Here is a 20303-nt window from a genome sequence, read left to right as displayed (position 1 = left end):
TACAGATACGTACAATTTTTTTCTGATCTAATCAAAGGAAAAGAGGCATGGTTCCTTGAAAATTAACATTTGGTGCTTTTAGAAGTCAGAGCATTATTCTTTTGACTGAAATGTGCTTTTTTGAAAGGGCGTTTCAAGCATAATAGGTGCTCTACACAGACTTGCTGTAGAAGAAGTGGCTGTGTTCTCCTTTGTCACAGGTTGCCCCAGCCTCCTCCTGTCACTTGGCATCTTTGTATGCCTATGAATTTTCCAAGAGCCAGTACGTGAAGCCTCCCTGACCAGTTAACCACAATCACCAACTGTGCAGGCAATTTTCCCCTCTTATTGGCGGTGATAATCCCTGAGAAGGCTGGTTTTCATAGAGGGAAGTAGAAATCCGCAGTGGGTGGTTTTCAGTCATTTCGACAGCACCTCACAGAGCTGGCCTCTCTTTCTGAAGCACAGCAGGCAAATTGCTCAGTTGTCAGTCCACACGTGAGGACTTGCCATTTTTCAGAATTTCCCTCAAAAGCTTACCTAATTGATGATAAAGCCATGGGCTGCCTTTGACCACATTAAGAACATTAAAACAATGTAATCGAGTTATTGGGTTTCATGTAGATGTCATTTAAATTCAATTGTGTTTTATTTCAAGAATCCAGTTTGCATGTAATTGTAGCTTTAGGGAATTATAAAACAGATTTTCCGGAGAGGATCTGGGTAGATTCTCATTTCTTATCCCAAGACCAGTACCCTTGTTAATGTCAGTCCCCTGAAAAGAATAAAAATTTTATGTGTAAAGAGACAAGATAAACAGAAAATGTTTAATTCCACACTACAGTGCAGATATTGGTGATATTTCGGCCAGGACATATCTGAAGAATAAATATAAACATTTGATTCTAGGCTGATTTATTCCTCTGAAAAACAAACACACCACAAATGATAAATCAGAAACACAATGTCCTGACTCCTTTAAAAGCCCCAAACCTGTTATTTAGAAATGATTGGGTGCTCTATAGACTGATTTCAAGTGAACTCAGAAAATAATCATTTGAAAGAACAGTTTTTCAATTTACAAATTTGATGGAGTTGGTTGCCTCATGTAACCCCTGAGTTGTCTCTCTTTCATGGTTTTCACTGATTTCATACTTAATGTTTGTTATTACAATGGAAACATTTGGCCAGATACAATCTAGAGACTTTGCATGGCTTTTAATGAGAAGAAGCATACCTTAAATCTATGTGAATAAGGCTTTCAGAAGTGTTTGCAAGGCCTGAACATTTCCAAAGCACTATACCCAATCCTCATGCCCTTGACCTTAAGGGCTAGAGATGCACTAGAATTGGGAGAACCAATGAGGGCAGACCTCATCAGAGAGGCTGTTTTCAGGAGCAGAATCAGGTCACAGAGTTTAGACTTGGGGTCAACAATCCAAATGGACTAGCCAATGTGCACAGCCAAATAAGATGCAAGTTAGCAATGGGGAAAATTCAAAGGACAATATTGGGCAAGGGAGACTAAAGTGTGCCATTCTTAAGGGTAAGTGTCTAGAAGTGCTGCTTTCTCTGTCCTTTGGTGGCTCGTGTGGGTATGCTGGGAGTTGTTTAAAGGAGAAGTTGGAGAGAGACCATTTAGGATTGTTGTTATTTAAAAAAAAAAAAAAAATGCTGTGGCTGGGTGTGGTGGCTCCTGCCTGTAATCTCAGCACTTTGGGAGGCTGAGGCAGGAGGATTTCTTGTGCTCAGGACTTCAAGACCAGTCTGGGCAACATAGGGGGATACATAAAATAAAATAAAAATAAAAATAAATAAAAAAATAAAATAAAATAAAATAAAAAATAAAAATAAACAAAAATAAATTTAAAAACTAAACTAAACTAAACTAAAATAAAATAATAAAATAAAATAAATAAAATCAAATAAAATAAATAAAAATAAATAAAAAAACTAAAATAAAATAAAATTAAATTAAATTAAAAAAAATAAAATAAAATAACCAGGTGTGGTGGCATGCACCTGTTGTCCCAGCTACTCGGGAGGCTGAGGTGGGGAGGTCAAGGTTGCAATGAACTGTGATCACGCCACTGCACTCCAGCCTGCGTGACAGAGTGAGACTCTGTCTCAAAATAAAAAATCAGAATGCTGTGAATTCTTTGCCACTCCTTCTCGTACCTTGTGAGTCACTTGTAACTAATCCAATGTGGCAGAGATGAGTTTTAAGGCTAGGTTAGAATAGGACAGGGGGTACAGCTTCTACCTTGTTTACTAAATCATTAGCTCTAGAACCCTAAACTACCCTGTAGGAAACTTGACTTCCCAGGAACAGCCATGCTGGGAGGGAGCCCACACCACATGGAGAAGCCACATATAAGAGCTCTGGTCAGTAGCCCCGGGTGGCATCAATCACTGAACACGTGAGTGAGTTCATCTTGAAGTAATTCCGGTGCCCAGCATTTGAGTCACCAACTGCCATTGCATCTTTTCAGCTAAGGTCCCAGATCTCATAGAACAGAGATAAACTGTCCCCATTGTGCCCTGATCATAATAAAATGGTTGTTTTATGATTGTATGTTTTGGAATTCAAACCAGAGTAGAGGCATTAATAGACCCACTGGATAGATGAATATATACTAAGTATGGAGATAGCCCAGTTTATTCATTGACCTCCAAGTTCACTTTAAGTTTTAAATCAGTATTCTGAATTTCTCAAATATGTCTCCCTATCTAGGAAAGGCAACAAAGGTTTCAGTGGATCTTTTAAGCTATGGTATAAAATCCCTGCTAGAAATAATAGAGCAAGCTAATCTGAAGTTCCTAAGTGAAATGCCTGCTTTAAATGCCAGGGAAGGTTTGGCTAAATCCACAATCACATGGAAAAGGCAAAAAGGAAAGTAAGGCATGTAGATGTTTACAGTATAACTCTTTGTACCTCTTCGTATGTTAGAAATAATTTATAATTCACTGTTTTTTTTTAAGTGGAAGAGATTTGATAAAATCTATAAGACAGTGTGTGTATATGTGTGTGTGCACACATGTGCATGGGTGTTCATAAATTCACTGTATCACATCCTGCAAATAAAAATAAAGTTTAGGTCATGGAGCCAAGACATTAAAGCTGGAAACATAAAAGGCAAATAAAATCTGCGTTCAGTTGGACTGTGCAGGGGCTTCTGATCTGTTTCCTCAAACTCATTGAAATAAGACTCACTTACTTTTATGGGCCACCAGAGATATGATACCTGGCCGAGCCTGCCAGGCTTAAGCTGATGTTTTGCAGCAATCTTTACCAGGGTGCTTTTGCACTTCATAGATGATAAACTTCAGCATTTCAACATTTTATGGGTTTGGGCAAAGGTGAATAGGTATACACAAAGTTACAGCAAAAGAAATATAATTGACCAGGTGTAAGTTACTGAATTTAGAGCAATTGTCAACGGCCCTTGAGAATGCCTTGCAATTAATGAATCAGCTCTACCTACTACAAGGAACAACTAAGCCTCAGCGCAGCCCCACACAAAACAGATCAATTGGAGTGTGGGCTGGTGATGGATGCTGAAGCAGATCAGCAGAGAGGGAAGTAAAAGGTTATGAATGGTGGAGAAAACCAAGATCAAGTCAAGATTAAATATCATTTCAACTACCATGACCATAAATTCATTGATTCCTTAGTAAAAAAGATTGATATTCAACTACCAATGATCATGTCTGTCATTTATCCTTTGTAATTTTCTGCTTGAAAAACATTTTCATGGTGAAGGGTTCATCATTCTCAACCCACATTTTGGTTTTCTTTATCAAACTCAAGGGCTAAAGCTATGCTTTTAGGTCTGTTTACAGAAAGGCACCTGAATCAAGTAGACCAAACATATCTGTGTAGGCAGTTAAAAGTAACAGGGATAGACTTAACGTATAGTCTTACCAGGAAGATTGGAGAACTGGGTTTGAAAAGTGGGCAGAAAGTCATGTTACCAGGACCACAGCCCAAATAATGGCTTAGAACTATTCCAATGAGAACATCACTGCTTACACTGAGCACTGGTCACCAGATACTACAGCTGACATTTCTGTCCCTGGTGCCGCAATAAGCCAGGTGTTTCTGCTACCAGTTTAGCCCTGTGGAAGGATTTTCCAGTGTCCTTCTTATTTGCAGTACAGTCCTCCGGGTCAAGTCTGAGCAGATGCATCTGATTGGTCAAACCTAGGTTATGTGTATCTGATTGGCTAACCTTGTGTCAGGTGCCTAGGCCTCACTTTAAGAGATCCTGGGAAAGTTGTTATCTGGAGTTGTCAGTTTCTATTTCCCACCAAGATGAAAAAGGTAGGGAATTACTTAAATATAGGAATGGAATATGGATGCTTCATGGACAAAGAATGACAGATACGTACTAAAAGTGCCAATTCTGTGATAATTTTTGTTAGACACTTTACATACATTTTCTTATTAATTTTTACAACAACCCCTAGTAATAGTAAATATTATTATATTAATTAAGTCTCAGTGTGTGTGTGTGACCAATATTTAGATAAGAGAATTAATGTTTAGAGAGTTGAAATAACGTTTCAAGGTTATACATGAAATGAGTATGCAAACCTAGGTCTGTTAGTCTACAAAGTATCTACAGAAACGGGCTGCCTGAAAAATGAGGATTCCTCTTTGTAGCATATCTAGGGGACCAGCAAATTCATTCTGAGCCCAGGTAAGCCTAAAGTTTATAGGATATAATTTTATGGAAAGTCCAAAGAATGTGTTCTGCAGTAACAAATTTATTTCTCCTCCAATATTTTTAATTGATGAATTATGCAAATAAAAATTATGAGGACCAAAGTTGTTCTGGAGATTGACTTAAGTGATTTACACCAGATTAATGCTCTGGAAAAATATGCTTGGCAGGGAAATTAGCCCAGGCTCCTCGTGTGATGGAGATCAAAATCACCCATTTTCTTGAGGAAGGTACTTGTTACAGGATTTCACATTTCCCTCACAAACAGTTAGTACATCACACACGCTGTTAAATAATGTAGACCCACTGACTTTACTACAAAGTTACGTTCGCATGCTCAAAACAGTAAATCTAGAGCCATGACAACAGGGCACTGGGACCAACTGCCAAGCTTGAGGCAGCCAAGTCCACCTTCCATAGATGCCAACTGACAAGCCCTTCTACTTGGGACTCCAACCACCATTTCATGTTGGAAGTGTCACCTTCAGAAACTAACCCTCAGTAAGCCCATGAGGCTTCCCTTCAGGGAGTTACGATGTCATATGTAAATGAAGGGTAGTCTTATGATAAAATCCTAGAACCTCTGAGTTGGAAAGACCTTCAAGAGTACTTACTTCCCTGGTATACAGTGAATTACTCTGTACCCGGGGTTTGGGCTGTTTCTATGTGGGAGAAATTTGGTTCCATTTAATTCATTCTCACCCAAAGGAGGTCAGAGAGTGAAAGAAGGTGGTATATCATGTCTGGTAAAGAAAATCTGAGGCACACCTGTGGGCCTTCATCCCAGGAGCCCTAGCAAAGGTCTTCCCCTTCTCCTTTCCACAAACACACTTGACCCTTCACATAATGCCTTCAATGATACTCCATAATGTTCAAGGCCTCCTAAAGCCTAAACTGTAGACGTTTCTCCTAAAAACAGGAATGTATTTTCACAGTTGTGGAGCCAAGTCCACGACCAAGGTGCTGGCAAATTCAGTTTCTGGTGAGGGTTCTTGTCTTGGCTTGCTGACAGCTGCCTTCTCACTGTGTTGTCACCTGGCCTTTCCCTGGTCCCTGCCCATGGAGAAAGAGCAAGAACTCTGTAGCTCTCTTCTTCTTTTTTAAGAGATAGAGTCTCACTCTGTTGCCCAAACTGGAGTGCACTGGTGTGATCATAGGATCATAGCTTACTGTAGACTCCCACTCCTGGCTAGAGGGATTCTCCCCATCAGCCTCCCAAGTAGCTTAGACTACAGGCATGACCCACCATGCCTGGCTAATTTTTTAATTTTTTTTTATAGAGATAGGGGTCATGCTTTTTGGCCAGGCTGGTCTCGAACTCCTGTCCTCAAGTGATCCCCCAACCTCCCAAGCAATCCTCCAACCTCCCGAAGTGCTGGGATTATAGGCATGAGCCACTTCACCCAGCTCTAGCTTTCTTCTTATAAGAAGACTAATCTTTTGGATCAAGTTTTCACCCCATGACTTCATTTGACCTTAATTACTTCCTTACAGGGTCCATCTCCAAATACAGCCACACTGCGGATTTGAGAGCCAGCATATAAATTTGAGAGGGACACAAACATTCAGTCCATTAACACAGTGGCAAGGAAGTTGGGGTAGTTTTTCATCACATCTTTCCCTGGTTAAGTGAAGTTCACCCCAGACCCTAGCATAGGCTGAGCACACTTGGCAGCCAGAGAACACCCTGAAGCACAGACACAGGAAGCTGAGGAAACTTCAGCAGGCAAATTCCAGGGTGGGTCTTGGAGATACAGGCTGGTCATGATGGCATTTGCTGAGGGCTGTGAGTAAAACTGGCTGACATCTGCTTGCTGTGTGGTCCATAGGCCTCTAACTAGGCTTGGGTCCTAAGCCCCTGGGCACAGCCCTGGGCAAGAGTGCTCAGATCCTCCTAGTGTTTTGCATGCCACTGGCCCTGCATTGCCAAGTGAGTGGCTGTTAGCCCTCCAATAATGTGTTATAGTCAGTGAAACCAGCCAAGGAGACCCTAAAGGAAATAAAGCTTTACATACAAAGAAATGAAATATGCCATGTGCTTTACATTTTTAGGACCTTATAAGAATTCATGAGTTGGAAGGACAGCCTAGAAAACACCTTGTCCAGCTGCCATTCGATGCCATTCTTTCTCCAAATACATACTACCATATGCTTGTTAGGTAACTTCCTAAATAGCAACCAGGACACCTAATTATGCACTGTCTTCTTAAAAGACTCCCAGGAAATAATGCATCAGATTCCCTTGTCTTAGTGAGCTTAGCAGTCTGGAAGCTCTTCCTTTTGTTCAAAGTCTTTTATACTTTTAAGTCATCTATTGCTATTTACGTTATCAACAATCAAACTAGCCTCTATGTACGTGTAGCAATTTTTATTTGCATGGTACAAACATAGCCTCTTTGGAACCAGAATGGAATAGAGCTTCATTTGTATTGCAAAACTTGCAGAAGAAGGAAAAAAAAAGAAAGAATATCTATTTAGTATCTGACTGTCATCATAGCAGCTAATACTTTCATGGTGCTCATCAAGTCCAAGACATGTTCCAAGAGCTTTACGTATTTAAACCTTATGAAAACACCATGCAGTAGGTAATATTAGTTCCACATTTTGCACACAAAAAACTGAAGCCCAGAGAAGTTAAGCGCCTTTTCCACAGTCACACAGCTGTCCATGGGGGAGTAGAATGTAGTCCAAGTAAGCTGGCTCCCTGGGCCATAGTCCTAACCAGGAGGGTGCCCTCCTTTTACATAAGCAATCATGTTGTCTTAGGGTGGTGGGGTGGTCAGGGAACTTTTCAAAGAGCTATATAGAGTAAGGGATGAAACATAGCTCCCTCCCAGATTTTCTTGTCTGTAAGTCCTTTCTACCGTACAACCTAAGGTCATAACCAGGTGACCCTTTATGCTAGAAACAAGTTTGCTTCTTTCATCTTTTGTGTGATATTTTCCTGAGAGGTTTTCATGGGTATCTGTTGGATGGGAAAACTCTACCTATTCAATTTTTATGTATTTTTATATTATAATTCAGTTTACAGAGGATTTGACATGGCTAATTTTCAGTATATTTTGTTTCACAACTCAGACTTTTGGATCTTCTCAACCTAGTCATACAGAGAGAAAGAGGTGGTAGATTACTAAAACTAGCTTAAAGGAGGTAAATTTAGGACAAATAAATATAAAGATGATATGGAGCTCGTTCTCTCAAGATGGTGAAAATGTAAATAGGTTCAAAGATGGCTGAGATAAATTTGTAAATGACAGTCCTTAAAGATCTTATTAAGGAAAATTGAATGTAGGAGAAATATACTTCTATCCTATTTATGGAATTTTTTTCTAGTTTGTACATTTTCTCATTTCAACATTTTTGGAATGGCTCTTCTTTGCCTCCTACCAGTTTCTTAGCGAGAGAGGGGGATGCTCTTGGCCTCCTGGTTTTACTGTTGTAGCTAGCAGAGTTCTGAATGAGAGTCTAACACCATAAGCAAGGGTGCCCTGCATACTGGAAGAGTGGACCCCACTTTCATGGTGTATGCTGAGGCTCCCATCTGGTGAAACATTTCAATTCTATAGTAAACACTCGGGGCCAACGCAGTAGCTCAAAAATGTAGTTCTCACAGCAGTTTGTATGCTAGCAGGAATAACACAGAGTCACTTTAGCAAAAATTGATGCATTACTCAGGTAAGAGAAACAAAAAGTGCATATCAAGGGATTCTTTAGGATTGTAAGGACTCTTGGAGTGCGTGAAGGCCAATCCTTTTATTTTACAGATGGGGATACTGAGGCCCAGTGTTCCTGTCATCTATTACTGTAACAAACTATCATCGAATTCAAATGCTTAAGACAGCAACAATTGAAGCTTTGCGTACAAAGAAATGTTTTGTTACACTTGACCCTTGAACAACAAGACGGTGAGTGGCACCAACCTCCATCTCAGTTATAAATCCACAAATACTTTTGACTCCCTCAAAATTTAACCACTAATATCACACTGTTGACCAGAAGCCTTACCGATAACATAGTCGATGAATACATATATTCTGTATGTTATATGTATTATATACCACATTATTACAATAAAATAATCTAGAGAAAAGAAAATGTTCTTAAGAAAATCATAAGGAAGAGAAAATATATTTACTATTAAGTGGAAGTGATCATTATAAAAGTCTTCATCCTCAATGTCTTCACATTGAGTAGGCTGAGGAGGGGGAGGAAGTAGAAGAGTTGGTCTTGCTGTCGCAGGGGTGTCAGAGGCACAAGAAAATCCATGTAAGTGTAGACCTGAGCAATTACAACCCATGTTGTAAGGGTCAGCTGTATATTATACAATTTTGTGACTCATGAATTTGGACAGGGCTCAGTTTGGTGGTTCATTTCCTTCATATGGTGATGCCTGTAATCACTAGCTATTATTTGGCCAAAGAAGGAGCCTTTCATCTCCCTAGACTTCAAACTAGGTAACCCCTATTTAGCTACAGAGAATCTCTTCCAAGGTGGGTGGTTCATTTGGAGAATTCCAGATTGCTCTCCAAAGATGTTTGCCAATGACCTTCCTAGGCTATGTCATGGAATACGTGATGACAGGGTATCAAGGAGCATTTTCCTTGTCTTCAATATCCTCCAAGGTCTTGCATCAAGTTCTTCCTTGCTTCTCAGGTCAACATCTATTAGTTATTAGCTGTTCGCTTTTATTATTATTTTCCCACCCTTCCCCGTGTGGCTTCTCTCATTCTTGGTGGATGAATGGCCCAACTCTCCCTGAAGCATTTGCCTTTCCTGGTATGTGGCCATGTCAGAAGGAAGCAAGGAGCATTAGGGCTTGGGACTGAGTGAGCTGGAGCCCTACCATTCATGCTAGCAGCTCTGAGGTGTGCAGTTCCCAACATCATAGCTTCTATCTTCTGCTAAACAGTAAAGAAAAGAAGGGATATCAAGTGCTGAGGGAAAACAGAAGCCTGGGCTATCATTATTTTTGGACAAACCAGCTGTTCTGATGAATGATATCTAGCATGAATCCGGGCCCAGGTGCCTCTCAGTCCTTCTTGGAGTTTTTCTCTCACTTCTTTCCAATGATAAAATGTGAGAGAACATAGCCCTATAAATTATTTTCCAATGCAGATATTATACAAAGCATGTCAATAAGCAACCACTTTATTCCTTAATTCCAAGTGGCTATGAGCTTCATTTTCAATTTACTCTTCCATAACCGTGTTTTTATTTTCCATCTCCTCTCCCCCAAATCTGCAGGGGAACCAAAGGAAGCATCTGTAAGGACCAGCTGTACAAATGGGTGCCTGTTCAATGGGATTGCTTGTCTAAACTGTGAAATAGAATAATTGATTGAAATCGAGAGTTACTTTTGGCTAAGGATTTGTCTAAAACACCAAAAGCAATGGCAACAAAAGCCAAAATTGACAAATGAGATCTAATTAAACTAAAGAGCTTCTGCACAGCAAAGGAAACTACCATCAGAGTGAACAGGCAACCTACAGAATGGGAGAAAATTTTTGCAATCTGCTCATCTGACAAAGGGCTAATATCCAGAATCTACAAAGAACTCAAACAAATTTACAAGAAAAAAACAAACAACCCCATCAACAAGTGGGCAAAGTATATGAACAGACATTTCTCAAAAGAAGACATTTATGCAGCCAACAGACACATGAAAAAATGCTCATCACCACTGGCCATCAGAGAAAAGCAAATCAAAACCACAATGAGATACCATCTCACACCAGTTAGAATGGTGATCATTAAAAAGTCAGGAAACAACAGGTGCTGGAGAGGATGTGGAGAAATAGGAACACTTTTACACTGTTGGTGGGACTGTAAACTAGTTCAACCATTGTGGAAGGCAGTGTGGCGATTCCTCAAGGATCTAGAACTAGAAATACCATTTGACCCAGCCATCCCATTATTGGGTATATACCCAAAGGATTATAAATCATGCTGCTACAAAGACACGTGCACACATATGTTTATTGCAGCACTATTCACGATAGCAAAGACTTGGAACCAACCCAAATGTCCAACAATGATAGACTGGATTAAGAAAATGTGGCACATATACACCATGGAATACTATGCAGCCATAAAAAATGATGAGTTCATGTCCTTTGTAGGGACATGGATGAAGCTAGAAACCATCATTCTCAGCAAATTATCACAAGGACAGAAAACCGAACACCGCATGTTCTCACTCATAGGTGGGAATTGAACAATGAGAACACTTGGACACAGGAAGGGGAACGTCACACACCAGGGCCTGTTGTGGGGTGGGGGGCAGGGGGAGGGATAGCATTAGGAGATATACCTAATGTAAATGACGAGTTAATGGGTGCAGCACACCAACATGGCACATGTTTACATAGGTAACAAAGCTGCACGTTGTGCACAAGTACCCTAGAACTTAAAGTATAATTTAAAAACTATATAATATATAACCAGAAAAAAAAATCAGAATGAGATAACAAAGAGCTAAAATTATTTAAATAGAAAAAAGAAAAATAATTTATTTAATTACTAAATGACATAAATAAAATATAAATCAAGAAAAAGAGAAACAAAACAAAAATGAAAAATAAAATTAAAGACATAACTTGAATTTTAATTATAATAACAATTGTAAAAGTATAATATGGAAAATTTTGTATTAAGAATAAATGTAAAAACCTGGACAAAAAAAAAAAAAGAAATCAAGAGTTACTTATGGGAACTCTCATGGGCTTGGCATTAAGCTAGTCTGAGTTAAAATTCTAGCTCTGCAACTTATTTACCGTGTAAGCTTCAGCAATTTTAAAACCTTTTGTACTTCAATTTTCTCATCTGCCAAGTGAGAATATCAATACCTACAGTCATATGGTAATATTAAGGACTGAAATAGACGGCAAATTTGAACTAGGTGGTAATATTAAGGACTGAACTAGATGGCATCGTGGGCATTCAGTAAATCAAAGTGCCCTTTCTTCAGGGAATAGCTCTGTGAGTAAACACGACATGTAGACATTTAAGGGGATTTTTTTTGAAGAGACGCCTAAAAAATGTGAGATCATAACAAATGTCATTTTTAGCATTCCAAATTTTAAACACTGTGCTAGACTCGGTGGAAACAATATGAAAACCCAAGTTCCAAGTCCTCAAGTAGTGGGAGTGGGGTAGGGAATGAAGTGAAGGTCTGTGAAACAACCACAACACAAGATCACAATCTTTAGAAGGGCATACAGATGTATTGAGGGAGCTTAGAACTTCAGTGCTGAGGTGCAGTGAAATCCTTTCACAACAGCACCAGGTGAGTTGCATAATGTCACAACGGGGCTCACCTTGAGCTCTGTGGGAGTTTTAATTTGACTTTGAATTTTGGTCATCCATCAGAGGAAATCAATGCTCTAGAAGAACGTTTTTTAAGGCAAGAAAAGTAAAATTCTCAAAAACTCAGAAATCATGAGAAATTCAGATTTTTTTTTTTGCCTGTTTGGAGGCAAACAATTAGAAATTTGGGGAAATTTAAAACGTATTAAAAGTAATGGCAAAAACTGCAATTACTTTTGCACCAACCAAATATATAATGTGCTTTTAAAGGTTGACTAAGAACTTACAAATATATACTTTTTGTGAAAAAGATTGTTTTCTATTTTAAAATTTTGACATAATTTCAGACTTTGAGAAAAGTTGCAAAAATAGTGCTTAGAATTTCTATATAATCCTTACCTTGGTTCCTCAAGTATTAACATCTTAACACCTTTGCTTGATTCTCACTGTGTCTATGTGTGTGTGTCTGTGTGTGTATGTCTTAGTATCTACTCAATTTTTTTTTTCTGGGAAGTTTGAGAAAAAGCAGAATTATACTCTATACCTCTAGGTACCTCAGTGTGTATTTCCTAAAAACAACAATATTCTCTAACATGATTATCAAAATCAGAAACTTAACTTTGATAGAGTCCACATTAGCTAATCTACAAATATTAAAACTTTCGCTATTGTCCCACTAATGTCCTATATAGCAAAATAAAAGCTTTTCTGGTTGAGGATCCAGTTCAGAATCATACGCTACATTTACATATGGTATCTCTTTATGCTTCTTTAATCCAAAATGGTCTCTAGTCTTTATCTTTCATGATTGACAATTTTGAACAATATACAAGTATTTTGCGGAATTTCCCTCAATCTGGCTTTGTCTAACGCTTCCTTGTGTTTAGATTCACCATATGCCCTTTTGTCAGGACTATCATGGAAGTGGTCTGTGTCCTTCCTAGTGCATGATATCAGGAGGCACATGATGATGATTTCTCTCATTATTGGTGCTATAGACTGAATATTTGTACCCACCCTCAAATTCACATGTTGAAATCCTAACTCCAAGGTGATGGTATTAGGAGGTAGGTCTTCTGGGAATTGATTAGGTCATGAAGATGGAGGCCTCATGAATGGGATTAGTACCCTCATAAAAGAGACTCCAGGAAGCTCCCTCACCCTTCCACCATGTGAGGACACAACAAGAAGGTGCCAACTATGAAGCAGGAAGTGGGCACTCACCAGACACCAAATCTGCTGGTGCCTTAATCTTGGACTTCCCAGCCTCCAGAACTGCAAGATATACATTTCTTTTGTTTATAAGCCATTCAGTCTATGCTGTTCTGTTAAGCATCCTGAACAAAGACAATTAGTGCTACTAACTTTGATCAATAGTTTAAGGTAACATCTTGCAGGATTCTCCACCTGAAAGTTGTTGTTTTGCTTGTAATTATCAGGTATCTTGTGAGGAGACACTTAGAGACGAGGTACCTGTGCCCTTTCTCATCATACTTTTGTCCACAAGTTTTAGCATCCTTGATGATTGTCTAAAATACTTATTACTATAGTGGTTGCCAAATGGGAATATTCTAATTCCATCATTTCTTCTGCATTTAGTTGGAATACTTCCATGAGAAAGCATTTTATTTCTGCAACATTAGTTTACTTACACATTTATCTCAATGAGGACTCATGGGTTATTATTTTATTCTATGGGTTACTCTACTTATTTATTTTGTTGCTCAAATTGTTCCACGTTTGATTAGTGGAAGCCCCTCCAATGTAGCTGCTGTGGCCTTTTAACTAGATTCTCATTTTCTATTATTTTTGCCCTGGAATCAGCTGTTTCCCCAAGGAGCTCTGCATTTTATTAAAAATAAGCTATGTGTTGCTAAACTTTAAGGAATTAAACATCTTACTGATTATATTATTTTGCAAGAATTGGAGAAAATTTTGATAATAGGAAAAATAGACATTTTGCTGAAACTAATCATTACATTTCATATTCATATTTTGTTTTCTCCACAGTGCAAACTAGATACAGGAAACACTTCTTTGTCATAATTTCCTTAAGGAAGATAGATGCTGTGGAATGAAGAATGAGCAGAGACCTCGGCTAGCTAAGTACAACTTTTTGTCCAGTGGGATTTATCTACACGGCCTTGCTTTTAGAGTTACCACTTCTTGGGCTAATTCTAAGGCACCTCATTTTTTTCCAGTTTAATAACACTTACAAAGGGAAGATTTGCCCAAAGTGAGATAAGCTTCTCTCCTCTTACTCTAACCTCTATCCTGCCATCCAGTAAGCATCTCTACTTTTTTCTGTGATGCAGAACAAACATACAGGCTGGAATAAGGTGGGGAGCAGGGACTATGAAAGGATCTGGGTCCCATCACTCCTACAAAATGTTATCAGACCGCTTCCATAAGTGACATGAGACACTTCTGTGTGCCACTGAAAAAATACAGAAGTTGGAGATACCAGGTTTCAAGCACCTGTATACCATCATATTTAATTCTCACATCAACTCAGACAGGTATTTTGATTATTTTGGAATATACAGAAAAGTCAAATGAATTTTACAGCCAACCCTATATACCGACCATTTAGATTTATTATACCATTGACATCTTGTGTGATCACATATTGATCAATCTGTCTATCCCTCTGTCCATGTATTGGTCCATCTTGTTTGTGGGATGCATTTCAGGTAAACTGAGACATGAGCACACTCCCAAAGATGATTCTATAGCCTAGTTTCACCAAAGAGGATGTTCAGCCACCATATGTTCCTCATTGAGATACACAGATATTAAACGGTAGAGACAAAATGTGAATCCAGGTTTGCTTAACTTGGAAGCCCATGTTCTTCCTTCTTAATCCTGTGGCCTCCTTTTAGAAAATGCTGCATTTTAATCAAAACCACAATGAGATACCATCTCACATCAGTCAGAATGACCATTATTAAGAAGTCGAAACATAACAGGTGCTGGTTCAACCTAATGGTAAATTAGTTCAACCTTTGTGGAAAACAGTGTGGTGATTCCTCAAAGACCTAAAAATAGAACAACCACTGGACCCAGCAATCCCATCACCTCTATACCCAGAGGAATAGAAATTGTTCTCTCATAAAGACACATGCACGTGTATGTCCAGTGCAGCATTATTCACAATACCAAAGAGATGGAATCAACCTAAATGCCTATCAGTGGTAGACTGGATAAAGAAAATGTGGTACATACACATGATGGAATACTATGCAGTCATAAAAAAGAACAAGATCACGTCCTTTGTGGCAACATGGATAGAGCTGGAGGCCGTTATCCTTAACAAACTAATGCAGGAACAGAAAACCCAGTACCACATGTTTTCACTTAAAATTGGGAGCTAAATGATGAGAAGACATAGACATATAAAAGGGGATAACCATATACTGGGGCCTATCGGAGGGTGGAGGGTAGGAGGAGGGAGAGGATAAAGAAACAAACAAACTAATGGGTACTAGGCTTACTACCTGGGTGACAATCTGTACAACCACCCCCATGACATGCATGGGTTTACCTCTATAACAAACCTGCACATGTACCCCTGAACTTAAAGTAGGGCGGGTGTCTTGGCTCATGCCTGTAATCCCAGCACTTTGGGAGGCCGAGGCAGGTGGATCATCTGAGGTCAGCAGTTCGACACCAGCTTGGCCAATATGGTGAAACCCCGTCTCCACTAAAAATACAAAAATTATCCAGGTGTGGTGGCGCACACCTGTACTCCCAGCTACTTGGGAGGCTGAGGCAGGAGAAGTGCTTTAACCTGGGAGGCAGAGGTTGCAGTGAGCCAAGATGGCGCCATTGCAGTCCAGCCTAGGCGACACAGCGAGACTCCGCCTCAAAAAAATAAGTAAATAAAAAGAAAAAGAAAGTTTACTTAGAAGGAAAAAAATGTTGCATTTCATAAGGGGAGATGTCTTTGTGGTCTGTGCTCTTTCCTGGCTTTCAATAGCATCTTGCCCCATTGTGAGTAATCCCGTATCTTCTGCTTCTGATTCCATCACCACCACGCGCACCACACCAGGATGGCATCTGATTTAGGTCACTTAAACTTGTACCAAGTTTTGTCTTTGAAAATTATTCTATTTTCATTTGGATTTTGAAGCTAGCTGTCTCTTAAGAATTTGAATTTTTTCACATATGCCTTCCCTCCTTCCATTTTAAAGTAGTTTCTGACACCACAAAGCAGGAGCAAAGATTTATTTTGCATAGTGTCTCAGGGCTGCGGGGAACAGAGGTTTCTGCCCATTCTTGATGTTAATCTGTCCCTAGGCCTGGCCTGGAAGGATAGCCTGCTCTCGCCAGTTTCCAGTGCTGGGATAGGGTCAGAGGGCCTGGTTCCACTTCTCCATCCTATCCCGTCTTGGGTCCCCTGGGAGGTCCTGGCTGGGGCTGCTGCTGAACACCGACCAGTCCTCAAATACTGCTGGGAATGGTAGAGCTTCACCTGGACATGATTCTTTCTGGGCCTCCACTTCATTCCCACTGAATCTGAGGCCCTGGTTCGTGGATCTGTTGCAAAGAGTAAAGAAATGCACGGGAAAGTAATAGGTAAACTGTGTGGATAGTTTTTTAGTATGAGTCTCATGCAATATTTGGGACATATTTGTACTAGAAAATTATTCTTTGTTCACCTGAAATTTAAATTCAGCTGGGCATCCTGCACTGTATCTGGCAACCACACTCTTGGGGAAGCAGAACTCAGTACTGACTTCCAGCCCTGTGATACCTCGCTCCTGGTGCCCATAGGAGCCAGCACCCTCATGAACCCCACCCCAGAATGCCCTGCAGATCACGCCCTGCTTGGCTAAACATCGTGCAGCGTGAGATCGGTGGGTAAGTTGGACATTGTGGGAATGTAAAATCAGATGGTGTATACAAACTCCATGAGATAAATTAGCCATATTAGTTTTTATTTAAACTATAATTGAATACGTGAAAAGAAAATTAGTGTAATTTATTGATACCATCTGGTGCTCCAATTTCCACCGGTTTTTTTCATCTGTTTTAATTTAAACAAGACTGAATTTTCTTCCTACATGTGATTTTGTTCCATTAATTACTCTGTTTTTACTTAGATACCATTGTGTCGACCATGGTCCTAAGTGGATTTAATAATTTGTAGATAATTGAACAAGTGTGACGTCGTCCATCAGCCAATGTTCTTTCAAGTTATACAGATGCTGAGACTCAATAGTTCACCTGCAGACCAACACTGAGTCATTTCTGATATAACATTGCATCCCCCAGAAACGTGCTTAAATAGATGCAAATTAATTCCTCCCATATCTCCTTATTAATTGACTACTATGTAGCAAGGACTTACTTGGAACCAAGGATAAAAAGAGATATATGACATAGTCCCAGCATCGATAGCATCTCAATCTGGTGAGAGATTCAGACCTATAAACAGATAATAGCAGTGTGATTCAATAAGGCACAGTTACAGTGCTCTGGGGACACAGAGAAAATAGTCTCTGATCTGAGAGAATAAAGAGGAAGGAGTAAGAAGAGAGGCAGTCAGAGAAATGAGCACCATGGCAGCAGGAAATGTATATTTCACACAGTCCCATTTTCTAGCTGTATTGTGTAGCTAAGAGTACTTTAAACTTGTATAGGACTTTGTGGTTGCAGAAGCACATTCACAGATTTTCACACACACACACACATCATTGTGGAAAGGAGCAGTGTAAAGTTGTCTTTGGGGGAAAAGCACAGAGTAGAAAATAAAACAAAAGACAAGTGGGATTGACGTTTCGGGTGCTCCCCAGGAGAGCAGGAAAGTGGGACCATGTTGACTTCCCTGACCTGAGGTCTGAGCTTATCGGTGATTTTTTTCCTTGCTGGTTTTCTATGTTTTTTAGTTTTTAGCCTTAAACTTGTGTTGCTGTAGTGTAACTTTTTAAAGACATGTTTATCAGACAAAGAAAGGCTGTAGAAATGTTTCCGATTAAAGGAAGAAAGGAGGTGAGGGACTTGCAACTAAGTGCACAGCCCAGCCCTAGGCGGAATCTGTACAGCAGGGGAGATGCCAGGAGGTCAGAAGTGGGTCAAGTGACAAAATTGGAATATGAATGGTAGACTAAACTATCATATCCTGTTAAGTTTCTGAAGTTGATGACTACACTGCAGTTGTGTAGGAGATTATCTTATTCTTAGGAAATACAGACTGAGGTGTTCAGGTATTAAGGACCATGATATATGAAACTTACCCTCAAGTGGTTCAAAAATATTTTATGCAGATATACACAGACATTTTATATGCACATACATATTTTAAATATTTTAAAGATATATAAATATGGAGAGGATGTAACTGATAAATGATGAAGCAAATGTGGTAAAATGTTCTAACAGTAGGTTATAATAACAGTATATATAACATATACATATACACTGTTATATATATTATAACCTGCCATATGTATAACAGTGTAATAGCAGCATATATATAACTATATATAATATATACTGTTAGAATAGCAGTATATATAAAATAACAGTGTATATATATATATATATATATATATATATATATATATACACTATTATATTAACAATAGGTGAATCTGGGCAAAAGGTATATGTGTATTCTTTGTACCATTTTTATTCTTGCAACTTGTACATTTAAAATTATTGTCAAATGAAACTTTTTCCTCAAGTACTTTTATGTATCATCTTTCTGACACTCACAACCACCAAGCATTATGGGCCTTGTTAGTCCCATTATATAGATGGGTAAACAAAAATGAAAGGCTTAAAATCATACAGCTACTAAGTGACAGACTCAGGACTAGGAGCCAGGTCTTTGCAGCTCAAAGCCTGTCACTATCTCAGGAGTCTACTTAGGAACCCCTGTAGCGCATCTTGTGTAGGCACATGTGAATATTGGATTAACCTTTGGACACCTTCGTGCTATGTAAACACGGTGTGCCTCACATCTGCCCTGGATGGTCACCTGTCCTCTCTGACATCAACAATCTCCATTCTAGGATGTGCTGCCTCCTAGATGGGACAGCCCTGTGCTCTCCCCTGCAAGACTTCATCATGCTCCATGGAACATCTGTCACATGGTAGACAAACTCTCCTACACTTTCACCTCCTTCTAAACATTGCTCTGCCTCTTTGCCTTAACTAAAACCTAGCACCTAGCTCTGCCTAGGGGACACCCTACCCTGCATGTCTCCCACACCCCAGACTCAGGGGCAGGACTTGGCTCTGAATTTTCTTTCTTGCTTTCTTGCTTCTCTCTCTCTCTCTCTCTCTCTCTCTCTCTTTCTTTTTTTGATGGAGTCTTACTCTGTTGTCCAGGCTGGAGTGCAGTGGTGCAATCTCAGCTCACTGCAACCTCTGCCTATGGGGTTCAAGAGATTCTCCTGCCTCAGCCTCCCAAGTAGCTGGGGCTATAGGTGTGTGACACCATGCGCGGCTATTTTTATGTGTGTGTGTGTATGTGTGTGTGTGTGTGTGTATTTTTAGTAGAGATGGGGTTTCACCATATTGGCCAGGCTGGTCTTGAACTCTTGACCTTGTGATCCACCCTCCTTGGCCTCCCAAAGTGCTGGGATTACAGGCTTGAGCCACTGTGCCTGGCCAGGTCTGATTTTTCTTTGCTCTCAGGCGCCTGCTGTATATCCTGTTTTGTCTACCTCATGTAAAACATCTCTGCTTCTCTGATAACATGATCGATTTGGCTAAACTACTCTACAGTCCCTCTTCATTCATTTCAGTGTGGCCAGTGGATTGCTTCCCCTCCTTTTCTGAAGAATTTGGCATCTGGTTTACCATATTTCTCTTCTGCCATATTCTGCCATCATCACGTATGACATCAGCTTTTTGCACATAACACATCCAACACTCTGGACCTGTCCTTGATCATCTGCTCTCCAATGATAATATATCTTCCCCACACTTCCCCACCCACTCCAGGGCTGTGCCCGACCTTCTTATTGTGTAAAACCACTTGTTGAAGGTAGGAACATTAATCGTGAACAACAGACATCAAGTGTGGCCTACTAAATTAGATGTAGGATTCACTGCAAGGGTCCTCACTAGTGTGCAGAATGACAGGGAAATCCAGAACGCTGAGTCAGAACACAGCCAGGGGCCAAGACGGTCTGAACTGCTGAAAGAGAACGTGGCCTGATCACGCATTCTGGAACCCAAACCACAGAACACTGCCTGCAGCTAGTGCTGCCGGGCCTCAGTGCCCGTGACCACACCAGTGTGCATTCAGCTGTACCATTACACCTACTGCCAATGGTC

General features: G+C 39.8%; 1 long non-coding RNA gene across 1 annotated transcript; it reads left to right on the top strand.

Annotated features, from left to right (window-relative positions):
- Positions 1-4227: 4227 nt before the first annotated feature.
- LOC105370973 (uncharacterized) lies at positions 4228-14831 on the top strand. Its single transcript, NR_188299.1, has 4 exons — positions 4228-4303; positions 8471-8611; positions 9951-10909; positions 14022-14831. It is a non-coding gene; the product is annotated as an uncharacterized LOC105370973 (long non-coding RNA).
- The last annotated feature ends 5472 nt before the right edge of the window (positions 14832-20303 follow it).

The sequence above is a fragment of the Homo sapiens genome, chromosome 15, assembly GCF_000001405.40.
Source record: "Homo sapiens chromosome 15, GRCh38.p14 Primary Assembly".
In the NCBI taxonomy this organism is placed as follows: Eukaryota; Metazoa; Chordata; class Mammalia; order Primates; family Hominidae; genus Homo; species Homo sapiens.
The sequence above is the reverse complement of the archived record's forward strand: the minus strand, read 5'-3'. Positions and strand labels throughout refer to the sequence as shown.